This window comes from Homo sapiens, chromosome 12, assembly GCF_000001405.40.
Source record: "Homo sapiens chromosome 12, GRCh38.p14 Primary Assembly".
Taxonomy (NCBI): Eukaryota; Metazoa; Chordata; class Mammalia; order Primates; family Hominidae; genus Homo; species Homo sapiens.
In genome coordinates, this window is record NC_000012.12 from 91,901,458 (window position 1) to 91,914,922 (window position 13,465).

The window sequence follows — 13,465 nt, forward strand, 5'->3', positions numbered from 1 at the left end:
CTCATTGGTGGAAGGAACTTGCCTTGTCTCAGGTGAGACTTTGAACTTGGACTTTTGAGTTAATGCTGGAATGAGTTGACTTGGGGGGATTGTTGGAAAGACATGATTGGTTTTGAAATGTGAGAAGGATGTGAGATTTGAAAGGGGCCAGGGGTGGAATAATATGGTCTGGCTCTTTGTCCCCACCCAAATCTCATCTCAGATTGTAATCCCCCATGCGTCAGGATTGGGACCTGGTGGGAGGTGATTGGATCATGGGGATGGTTTCCCTCATGCTGTTCTCGTGATAGTGAGTGAGTTCTCACGAGAACTGATGATTTTAAAAGTGTTTGGCAGTTCCCCCTTTGTACTCTCTCTCTCTCTCTTTCTCTCTCCAGCTGTCATGTAAGACATGCTGCCTTGCTTCCCCTTCACCTTCCACCATGATTCTAAGTTTCCTGAGGTCTCTCCAGCCATGCAGAACTGTGAGTCAATTAAACCCCTTTTGTTAATAAATTACCCAGTCCCAGGTAGTATCTTTATAGCAGTGTGAAATGAACTAATACAGCACAGAAACCATAGTTGCTCAGCTTTCCTTTTAAGAGAGTTTGGGAGCCAGAGGCTGTTATTGACTCTTTTCAGACAAAATTCTAAGATTTTCCTTGCAGTAGTTCCAGCTTCAATATCTTAGATAACTGCTTCATGAAGCCTGTGTCAAAACATACTCCCAATGGACTATTGAGAGAATTGTAGAATAAAATTGTAGCATTCTAGGGTTAGCACTCTAACTCTTTCTCTTTGAAGCATATTCCATCAAATATATCCTAATACAAACACATTTCAATGTAAGACAAAGGGCAATAATAAACATACCTTAAGCAATAAGTGCTTATAGTTTCCCCCTCTTTGAATGGGAAGACTGTAGTCACTACTCTGTGAGAATCCATTATATGCTGTTGTTTTGTTTTAAAAATGCTTGTTTTTTGTTTATTATTGTTTGTTTCAGTTTATTATTTTCCCACATGAGACAATAGTTAATTTAAAAATGAGCTTTTATTCATGTCTTTGAGACAGCCTCATTAAATCTTTTAGGACATTAAATTTTCCACCTTTTATTTTCCTTTTAATAATATGACAAATCTGTGGGGTTTTGCCTGAGCTAGACAATGTGGCATTTATTTATTTATTCAGAAGCATTTTCAGGGACCACTTGAAAAAGTTTGTTTCTAAAATCCTTAATAATGTTATCCTAATCCATCATGTTACTTGCTATTTGCATAGTCATTTCATTGGATAGTTTATGAAAAATGGAAGGGAAAGTATTTTCTTACAGTGCCATTTTTCACAAGACTCACTTCCTGATGAGAACATGAGAAGCAGTTTCTTCCTGAGACCCACTTTAGTTTGTCCCAACCTTCTGAAGAGACATGGGGCTGCCCTGACAGTCTGCTGATTTTGTACAGTGACCACTATCCCTGTCTGCTCTAGTCTTTTTTCACTTTGACTCTGTGAAGACCATCTTCTGGAAAGAATGGACATTTCAGTCTAGTCAGCCAAGAAAACAAGCTGCCCAAGTTTCTGTCACACTCAAAGCTTCTATGAGTCATTGAATTTGCACTTCTTTTGTCACCTCTTCCCAAGCCCCTTATGATCTTAACAGGGCATGTCCAAACTTGCCAGAGCATATTCATGAATTATCTAAAGAATTCCATTGTTATGGTCTGAATAGTGTTCCTCAGAATTCATATGTCAAAGTCCTGATCCCCAGTACCCTCAGAATGTGACTGTATTTGGAGATAAGACCTTTAAAGGGATAATTAAGGTAAAATGGGGTCATATGTGCACACCCTAGTTCAATATGACTGGTGTCTTTACAAGAAGAGAAGATTAAGACAAAGACATGCACAGAGGGAAGACCATGTGAAGACACTGGGAAAAGATGATGTGTTAGTCCATTTCCTATTGCTATGACAGAATACCACAGACTGGGAAATTTATTTAAAAGAGAGAGAGAGAGATTTATTTGGCTCACAGTTCTAGAGACTGGGAAGTCCAACAGCATGATGACAATATCTGCTTGGCATCTGGTGAAGGCCTTCTTACTGTGTCATCACACACTGGAAAGGCAGAAGGTATCACATGATGGGAGAGGGTAAGAGAGAGTGAGACAGAGAGAAAGAGAGAATCATATTCCCACAATAATGGCATTGACCTAATCACCTCTTAAAGGACCCACCTCTCAACACTGTTACAATAGCAATTAAATTTTAGCATGAGTTTTGAAAAGAATATTTAAACCATAGCAGCCAGCCATCTATGAGCCAAAAACAGAGACCTCAGAAAGAATCAACCCTGACAACACCTTAATCTTGGACCTCTAGCCTCCAGAGCTGTGAGAAAATTAACTTCTGTTGTTTAACAAAAATTCTGTTGTTTAAACCACCCAGTCTGTGGTAATTGGCTATGGCAGCTCTTGAAAATTAATACAATTATTTCTCTCTAACTCAACTTTGAACACCTATGAGAGGCTGAGGTAAACTGGCAAAAGGTAAGACTGGAGAGAAAGTCTTGTGTAAGATTATGTATGATCTTCAAGGTTCTGGAAGGAATTATAATTTTATTCTAAATGAGATGAAAGAAGGCTATGGAATTCAATAGCAAGGATAAAACCCTTTGAGAAGGCAAGATTTGAGCAGTTTAAATAGAGAAGTAATGATGTAAGTCACACAGTGGATTAAAAACTGGATAGGTTTTAGTAAGAACATGGATTCAGGGAGTAGAGGTGATTAAAGTACCTATGCCTTTTTTCTAACAATAACCCATGTAACTCTGGCTTGTATTTAATATGAAGAATTAAATACAAGTTTAGTGCCTTGATCTAATATTTTTTTCATCTTCAGTGGAAAAAGAACCAGCAGGTTCCTAATGAATTACTTAGACCTATTACCAACTACTCAAAGAAAAAAAATGTAATTTTTTCATATCTTGTGTTTAGGATAATCTGAAAGTATGTTTTCCCTGGAGACTGATATTTATGAACTTGCATCATTATACTATATGGAGATAGAAAGTTAGAAAATAAATAGCAATCAGAAGATTTTGTTTACTTTGCCATAACGCATTAGCTATCATTAGCCTTATATCCCTAGTCATTGGTATTTCACAAGTTAACATTAAAAAATACTTTTTGTGCTACCCTGTGAATTTTCTTTCTCACATAAAAATTCTGCAGTGATTATATAAAACCTTAAGTAGGTCATAATCATGTTCAGAGATTATCATTTGCTTGCCAGTGCAATCTTGGAAGATAGCACTACATTTCTTAAATAGGAACTTTTGTTTCAGCTCACCTAGCTAAGAGTAGTCATAATACAATTGGGACTTCACTTGAAAATGTACAGTAATAGCCAGAATTGAGTTGCCAAGTTTTCCTGGGATGTTGTCAGAAACATTAAATGTTTACCATTGTTTTGCTATTTGGTTGGTTGTGATTTAGACTTCTAATTAAAATTCAGTGAGAGAAGGTATGAAAAACAGCACAATTCCTGGTACTTGGTGGGCATTCAAAAAATGTATACAGAATGAGTTATTAAATGACTTAATGAATGTATCCTAGTTAGAGCAGAAAAGTAGCTGGTCATCAAAAGGAAACTGAAACTATGTTCTAGAAAGTAGTCACGAACTCAAGCCATACCTTTGCTTTACCTTTATTTCTACTTAATTTTTCTCCCTCTCTACTAATTGGCTTTCTTTGCTACTTTGTTCCCATGGATATCTCATTTCTTCTGAGTTTAAATCTGTGTAATATGCTAATGTGTTATTACTCACCCACCCCTCAGAGACTGCCTTTTGTTCTCAGTTTCAAACCCCTGGAATCATCTGATTGGTTCGCTTAAAAGTCCACCTTCGTCCAATTGGTTTTCTCAAAGAGGACAGATTTGCACATGGCAAACGTGACTCATGAACAAATTCTCTATGTGTCCCCATGAATGAAAGGCCAGTTGCTAGAGAAAGAAAATCATATATTGGGCAGATGCCTAAAAGTTGTTACCTGATGACTGTGAGAGAGAGGAGAAGCAGTAAACTTTTAGTGGAAAATGAATAAATAAAAGGACATCAGGACGAGATGCAAAGGAAAGATGAGAAGATGATGACTTTGAATCAGAATGGCAGAGAGATTTGAAGTCAACAATCACAGAAGAATCATCCATAATTTAGTGGGTAATCTCTCTACTCTTGGTCTCAAGTGGACATTGAGTAAGTATTACCAGATACATATATGTTTCAGATGTGTAGATTTATAGTATATACTTGCATCAGGATTAGGCAGTATGAGATTCAACCTATGAATATTTTCCCACTTCTGTTACTTCTTCTACATTTATAAATCAAGAGTAACACAAAAATTCATTTCATAATACATTATTTTGATATTCTTTCATCATTTGAATGAAAAGCAGCTTATATTTAAAAGGGAGAGAAGAAAAAAAACCAACTAACCTTGAGTTTCTGCTGAAGTAGCTGAGGATCCAAGATGCTCTAGGCTGCAAGCTGAAGTTTGAAGAAAATTCAGCCTGCTGACTTTTATCCTCTCTTTTGGACAAGATGACTGTGGGCAATTTGGGCCTCTGGCTATGAAACATGAACCTGTCTATCCGCGTTATTAATGGATACTTGATGGGATGAGCTAACAATGACTTTGGTTTCTTTGAAAAAAGGAAATTTCTTGAGATAGGAAAAGCCAAATAAACAGAAATACGGTGACAACAACTAACATTTATAGACTGCTTATGATGTGCTAAGCATTGTATTAAGTACTTTAAATGGTTTATTTAATTTAATACTTACAGTCAATCTATGACATGCATACTATCATTACCCCTATTTTATAGATGAGAAAATCAAGGTTTCAAGAAGTTAAGTAACTACTCAAGCTCACATTAGCTAGAAATAGAGTAGAACTGAAATTTTGCTCTATATACTTTAGAACCATCATTTTCCTATAGACCTTAACATATTATATTTTGCTGCATCCTTCATGTGGAGAATGAAATTCCAGGCCAATCAACAAGTCATGAAAGTAAGCCCTCCTCTCTCCGGGTTAAAATATAATTGGACTTGGCCAGGCGCGGTGGCTCACGCCTGTAATCCCAGCACTTTGGGAGGCAGAGGTGGGCGGATCATGAGGTCAGGAGATCGAGACTATCCTGGCTAACACAGTGAAACCCCGCCTCTACTAAAAATACAAAAAATTAGCTGGGCGTGGTGGCGGGCGCCTGTAGTCCCAGCTACTCGGGAGGCTGAAGCAGGAGAATGGCATGAACCCGGGAGGCGGAGCTTGCAGTGAGCCGAGATCGCGCCACTGCACTCCAGCCTGGGCAACAGAGCGAGACTCCGTCTCAAAAAAAAAAAAAAAAAAAAAAAAAAAAAAAAAAATATATATATATATATATATATATATATAATTGGACTCGTCTACAGCCATACCACCCTGAAAGCACCCGATCTCGCCTGAAATATAACTGAATTCATTAAACATGAGATGAAAATATCTGGGCAATTGAGACAGGTGAAAAGATTTTATATGTATTTATACCTTAGTTAATTTAATGCACAAACTTCTAAATATTACTTGTACGTCAGCTGTTTCAAATTGTTCTGAGCCCAAAAGATGGAATTTCTTATTCATAGATAGGAAAAGAAGGAATGGGGATAAGTGGATAGAAGGGTTACGCCAAGGCTATAATTAAATTTTTGCAGGAAACACCAAGGAGCTACTCCATAAGAGGGAAACAGTGTTCTACCTTTCAAATTACTTTCTTTTGAAGTACATTGTAAGCCCAGAAGGAAGTTTAGTTATAACCCTATGATATGGTTTGGCTGTGTCCCCACCCAAATCTCATCTTGAATTGTAGCACCCATAATTTCCACAGGTCATTAGAGGGACTGGATGAAAGGTAGTTGAATTATGGGGCTGGTTACCTCCATGCTGTTCTCATTATAGTGAGTGAGTTCTCACAAGATCTGATGGTTTTACAAGGGGCTTCCCCCTTTGCTCGGCTCTTCTCCTTCCTGCCACCATGTGAACAAGGAAACATTTGCTTCTGCCTTCAACATGATTGTAAGTTTCCTGATGCCTCCACAGCCATGTGGAACGGTGAGTCAATTAAACCTCTTTTTTTTAAACAAATTAACCAGTCTCAGGTATACCTTTATTAGCCGTGTGAGATCAAACCAATACACCCCCAAATATTCATAGCAAAATCCAACTCCAGGCATGACCCCCATCCATGGTGAAATCATATTACCACTTTTCTTTTGCTTAATTTTGGATAGAAATGGGCACATTTGTCCTTAGTATATCACATAAAAGTGGATATGGATACATAAAAATACGGATATATCGAAAAGATTCTAAACAAGAAAGGAATTTGTGCATATTATTTTTTCCTAAGTGAGATAGGCAGATATCCTGGGGTGAAATCTCGGTGACCTTAATTTTCATATCTTGCTTAAAACAACAGTTATAATTTATTATTTTCATCTATTACTATGAGAAGAAAATATTAACACATTTGTGTTTCAGGAATTTCAGGCTTATTTGTTTATTTTCCCAATGATATTCATAGCACTTTCCCACTACCAACTTCTAGATTTGCTCCTAGAATATGGATGGAAATAAAGGGAAGTCAGAAACCTTCTTTCAGGAACCCAGGAACCCACTGAATACAGGGCAAGAAAAACAGGCTTAAAGAATTTGTCATGAGAAAGAGAAAATGGTTTTCTTACTTCATACAACATTAGCAGTTAAATCTAAAATCCTGAACTACAAATTATTTCAACTTTACCACAGAAATCTTCATCAAGAACACTCTATTTTAAATCTACAAGAAAACAACAACAACAACAACAACAAAACATTAACAAGTGGACAAAGGGCATGAACAGATACTTTTCAAAAGAAGACATTTAGGCAGCCAACAAACATATGAACAAAAGCTCAACATTACTGATCATTAGAGAAATACAAATCAAAACCACAACGAGATAGCATTTCACATCAGTCAAAATGGCAATTATTAAAAAGTCCAGAAATGACAGATGCTGGCGAGGTTGCAGAGAAAAAGAAACACTTTTACACTGTTGGTAGGAGTGTAAATTAGTTCAACCATTGTGAAAGACAGTGTGGGGATTCCTCAAAGATCTAGAGGCAGAATACCATTTGGCCCAACAACCCCATTACTTGGTATATACCCAAAGAAATGTAAATCATTCTGTTATAAAGATACATGCATGCATATGTTTATTGCAACTCTTCACAATAGCAAAGACACGGAATCAACACAAATGCCCATTAATGATAGACTAGATAAAGAAAATATGATACATATACACGGTGAAATACTATGCACCCATAAAAAGGAATGAGATTATGTCCCTTGTAGGGACATGGATAGAGCTGGAAGCTGTTACCCTCAGCAAACTAACAAAGGAACAGAAAATCAAACACTGCATGTTTTTACTTATAAATGGGAGTTGAACTATGAGAACACATGGACATATGGTGAGAAATAACACACATTGGGGCCTGTCCAAGGAAAAGGGTGGGAGGAGGGAGAACATCAGTAAGAATAGCTAATGGATGCTTGGCTTGATACCAAGATGAGATGGGTTGATCTGTGCAGCAAACCACCATGGTACACATTTACCTACGTAACAAACCTGCATGTCCTGAACATGTACCCCTGAACTTAAAATAAAGGTTGAAGGATAAAAAGACCATAAACCAGTCCTTGGAGCATAAAGAAAAAAAAAGGAATATTCTGTTGTGTCTTAAAATTCAATAAACAGCACACATCATAACCTTGTTCAAATGCATATTTTTTTCTTGGTTAATGTATAGGTTCAGAATTGGAAAACATAATTAAATTGTACCATATCAAGTACTTTCAAGTATTTTCAAATCCAAATTTGAAGAGAATTTGAATCAATCTATTAGTTTTTTAGCCCTGATTCTTTGCATTATTTTTAGTGATTGCTTTTGAATGACAACATACATCTTTATCTTCTCACAGTCTTCTTAGAATTAATATTAAGCCACTTCACATAAAATAAATTTTCCATTATATAAGTCCCCTCACCTTTATCTTCTGTCCTTTATGCTGTAATTGTCATATGCATTCCTTACATTTTCATACAGCAAAAATCTTATATACAATATTATAACTTTTCCTTTAAGCAGTCATATATATATATATACACATATATATATACATATATATATGAAATTAAGAATAAAATGTAATTTTGTGTTTATCCAGTTTTCTGTACTGTTCTTTATTCCTTCCTCAGGATCATAGAGTTTCCATCACTATCATTTCCCCTAATACTGAATGATTTCTTTTAGCATTTTTTGTAGCACAGGTCTGCTGGTAATTAATTCTCATTTTTTTAATCAGAAAATGTTGTTATTTTGCTCTATTTCTTGAAGGATATTTAGATTTTATTCTGGGTCTAGAATTCTAGGTTGAAGTTTTGGTCTTTCAGTAAGTTCTTGCACTGTCTTCTGGGCTTCATTGTTTTTGCAGATAGGATTTTGATTGCTGTTTTACTGTTTGTGTTATTTTTCCTTAGTTGCTTTTAAGATTTTCTTTTCAATTTTGATTTCTAGCAGATTGACTATGATGAGCATAGGTGTGGTTTTCTTTCCATATGTCCTTTTTGAATGCACTGAACTTGTTATTTTAGTTTATTTATTTCATATAAAATGGGTAGCTTCTCTCCTCAAACGAGGCAAATTCACTAAGAAAATTGAGGTGTCTGGAGATATCTTAATCAAAGAAAAGGTAACTTTATGACAGAATAGAATAAAAGATTATTCCAAAAACATTGATGACACATCAGATAATAGAAGTGATGTATTTGGGGAAAGGAAACCAAAAAAAATATTTTACCGGAACTCAAACCAGGTTTGAATTACTCCATTTTTCTATACTGTTGATCACCCATGCTATATTGTGGAAGAATATTAAAACTAAAGACACAAAACAGCACTGAACATGGAAGAGAGGGGGAAGCCAGTGCAGAATTTTTGCAACAAACAAGAAAAAATTCAGCAAAAAGGGTTATTTTAGAAAATGATACTGTTTGTGTTGCCTAATAACATAAGCTAATTTTAAAAAGGGTTCTGACATCTAAAATTAAAATGGCAGGCCCTTTATACAGAATTGGGCAAGTATCTTGAATATTATCAAACATATTTAAAGAAGCATTCTTTATTTGGGGTGCCATCTTTATTGCCCCCAGCATAATTAGCTATGGTGGAAAATAAGGTAAAGCATTTTAACAATCTACGAGAGTTTCATGAACGCAACTTCTTTAGTAATACCTATTAGTTTATCAATAGAAAAGCACTTTCTGATCACCTGTTTACACACAATTCCTGCTGCTGAGTCATTTACACATTAAAGAGTGCATTGATGTAGGTTGACAGAAACAACCAACTGATCAACCTGAACAAGTGTTTGCATTCAATAATAATTTATATTATGCATAAGCAAAGGTAGGTGCACTCATGATGGGGTGGCAGATAGAAAGACTAGCAATTTCTTGTTTAGACAGAAAGACCTGACAAGGAAGAGCTCATTAGGGTCTCTGGAGAGTGGCTGACAACTGAGGAGCTGTCGGCTCTGTCAAAAGACCTTTGAAAATAGTTCTTGTTTTTGAATCAGTATCTTCTGAATCACCAGCAGGGTGCCAGAATCACATTGTTTGCCTCCTTGCCTAGTTCCTTACCCTTCAGTGCTATTAGAATTTGCCCAAAGCCTTAGCTGCCTTCAAAACTTTTTTGCTTTAGTCTGCATGCTCACAAACAAACTGGAGTCTATTTTCTCAGATATCCCTTTATTTTTCCTTGCTTCTATTTCAGCTAATTACTGTCAGACTTTGCTTTGATATATGCAGCTACTGAGAATATGTGATTGTGTGTGTAAGACACACACACACACACACACACACACACACACAGGGACTAACCTTGACTTTGTGTCTATGAACAAAAGGAAGATGGTAGGAATAGAGAACTGGACTTGGAAAAGGACTGATTCAAATAACTGCTATTGAAAAACAAAAACAAAACTCAATCCAAACCAAAAGTCCCTGCATACAGGTCCGGTCTAGGTAACACACTTTGATGAACTGCCTCTCGGACTTTTTCTGCTTAGGCATAGCAGATTCTAATTTTCCATCCTGGAATAAGGATGTAATTCAAGATAAAAACGTGCTAGCCCTCAGCACCACCATTCCCAGATCTTCCTGTGCACTCCTCTCCCTGCCCCCAACACACACACCGGTATCATCCTCACAGCAGTATTTCCCTCAACTCCACCCTCTGTTTCCAGCATTGTTTATACCAGCACTTATCAGAGGTAGGAAGGAACATGTTCATAAATATATGTTTATGTACCTTTTTATGTGTGGGGAAAATCCATTAATAACAGCTAGCATAAACGGCATAAGAATGATTATCCCCACTTTACAGTAAGGCAGGCTGAGAAATGTTTATCACTGGTTCAAGGGTGTATGGTCAATAACGGACAGTCTAGATTCCTCCTACTCAGATCTGACTCCCAAGCCTTTGTTTCATCTTAACCAACATGCTAGCCTGTCACCCCTGAAGCCAGCCTCTCTATCTTTGGTTGGTGTTTGCAGCCTCTCTGGAAATTACAAGATGTATGGAACCTTAACTCCCAAGGCTCAGAGTAGTTCAATAATCCCTCTTGGTAACTCTACCACTGCTGCATTAATTCCTTTAATGAAATCACAAAACCTCTGGTGTGTGTAGTTACCCTGATTTTCTTCAAGATCTGACTGCTTCGGAAGTGTGATGGTGGTTGGGTCACTGATTAACCTGAAACAGGTATTATCATCATCTCCATTTTATAGTGAGGAAATTGAGACTTACTGGAGTTGAGTACAGTCAAGATCAAACTCAAGGTCTATTTGTCAACAAATCTCCTTGAGAATGGGAAACTTATCTTTGTATTATCTAGAGTTCTAGTCACACCCAATACACTTTTTCACTTGAATTGCCCTAAATAACTCCTTTCAGTATAACCTCTTTCCTGTGCCAGCTCTCTCACACTGAGCAGGACCTTCTAGTGTGCTCCAACATTCTGATCTCAACATGATCTCAAAATCCCCTTTATTTTCTTCTGTAACAAGTCATAATCCCTAAAAGAAGAAAGAAACATATTATAAAGATTTGGATTTGTTTTTTATTTTTTAATAGAATAACCACTTTCCCAGGGATGTGGGTAGGGTTAAGAGCATCACGCTAGAAAGAGAAGACTCAAGTGCCCAGGAATTAGCAACAATTGGGAATCTATAATAGCCTGCTGGACCTAAAGAGGCAAGAAAAGGATGGTATTAACGGAACCATTAACGGAGAGCTGGAGCCTTGGTAGCAGGGCTGTCTGACAGGAACAGTGGTTGAAGGAAAATGGAGTCACTCTCAAGGGTGGTGAAGCAGGAAGAGAAGAGAGGGAATAAATACTGTAATCTCTCTCTTCCCATTCTTCAGTCAACTGCTGGGCCTTCCATTAGCTGAATCCAACTAGGAGCCCAAGTACAAGGGAACTAGGGTGATTTAGGGTGCAAAGCAAGACAGAAAGCAAGGCAGAAAGAAAATGTATCTAGAGGGAAAAACAGAGAGCCACCATCTACCTCCCATCAATGCAACTCCTTAATACATATCAAAGAGAAATGAGTGTGTATAACTACCAAACCACATGCACAAGAATGTTAATAACAGCTTTATTTAAAATAGTCTAAAATGGAAATAACCCACATGTACCTCAACAGTAGAATGAATACATTGTGGTATATTCATAGAATAGAAGAGCACAGAGCAGTGAAACAGAATAAGCTACTCATAAGTGCAACAAGATGAATGAATCTCACTGATACTACATGATGTTTAAAAGCCAAACACAAGACTACTACTGAATGATTGCATTTATAAAAAGTTCTAAAATAGGTAAAAACCAACTTGTGGTGATAGAAGTCAGAATAGTGTTTACCTCTTGGTGTATGTGGGAAGGGAGATAGTGCTGTGTATTGACTGGGAAGGGGCAGGAAAAAGCTTGTGGGTGGTGGTCACTTGGGTTTAGAAATATGTAAAAATTCATTGAATAAACAGTTAACACAGGTTTACTTCAGGCAAGTTGTATCTCACTTCTAGCAACAATAACAATGACCATTACTGTTATTCTTACCCTGCATGGAGCAAAGTCATCCAGAATTGAGTTGTCTGCTGGGTGATAATAGCAAGTAATAAACTTAATCAAAATAAACTCTTCGGGTTTGTAAACTGTGTATTTCTCATCGATGACAAAAATGAAAACATGACTAAGATGCAAATGACGAAGGCAAAAACAATTTCCTCTTCAGAAAACAATTGAACAAGGAATTCAAAGAAGCCCTTTTGGAAACACAAGAAGACTGTCAGTAGCATTAATATTTTGGGGAGGGCAGGACTTTGAGGCCCTCAAGATCATGCCACGCTGGCTGGTGCCTGTGTTAAGTCTGGTTCACATCACTGTCCTAAAATGTTGCTATGTCACATGGGGTTAAAGCCTTAAAGAACTATGACAGATAATCCATTTTTATGAAAAGTGGCCAGAAATATTGCGTGACTGATTTTCAAACATAATTTATTTTTTCTTGGTAAATTGAGTAGAACATAGAATTGAGTGAAATCACACAAACCCACCTGGCTTGCTGTTTTCTCATTTACTACTAAGTCGGTTTTCAATGCACTAGTTATTAATATTTGTAAATAGGAGCTCCAATTACATGGCATTTTAATATCCTGACCCATAGATAAGAATTTAACAGATCTCTTTGCTATGATGCTATCTCAGTGGGCCTGATCCTATGGTGAAGAAGCCCTACCCTGGGAATAAATTGTTCCCCATAAAAGTGGAATTAACGTTTCTAAGCACCATGGCTCCATTGTGTAAATTGTTTCTCCATGGTATTCCACTGGGCTGCCAAAGATCAGCGTATAGAATTGAAACACAATAGAAAGGATGACTGGATTTCAGGATAACTAGATCTGGAATGAAGATCCAGGACAACTAGATTCAGAAGCAAAAATTCCAAAGATGGCCTCAAGACCAAAAGGGAATTTAGGGCTACTATTTGTGTGGAATGTGCATACTTCATGTCTCCAGGGCCACAGTAGCTTATAGATTCATCATATACAGTACTTCTCTGGTATTTCCACCATATATGAAAACTCCAGCCCAAATTTCTGTCAAATTCACATGGGAGTCCCCAAAAGTCATCTCGTATGTATTCTGTGAACAAACCCGCAAGGTTACTACATGTTGTTCACCACTTTCCTCCTTTCCCACCCAGCTCAAGCTGGGTGTGTCTCTTGTTAGGCCAGCATTGCTCTCCAGAGCTCTACATCTGTGTTGAG

The 13,465-nt window shown here is 37.1% G+C and overlaps 1 annotated feature.

The window, feature by feature from the left end:
* Nucleotides 860–2,059: an enhancer, noted in NCBI's record as "BRD4-independent group 4 enhancer chr12:92296093-92297292 (GRCh37/hg19 assembly coordinates)". NCBI's record gives its function as "activates an origin of replication core promoter dependent on BRD2, P300/CBP, MED14 and CDK7 cofactors, and independent of BRD4, by STARR-seq in HCT116 cells {active_cell/tissue: HCT116}" and the evidence as "EXISTENCE:reporter gene assay evidence [ECO:0000049][PMID:35650434]".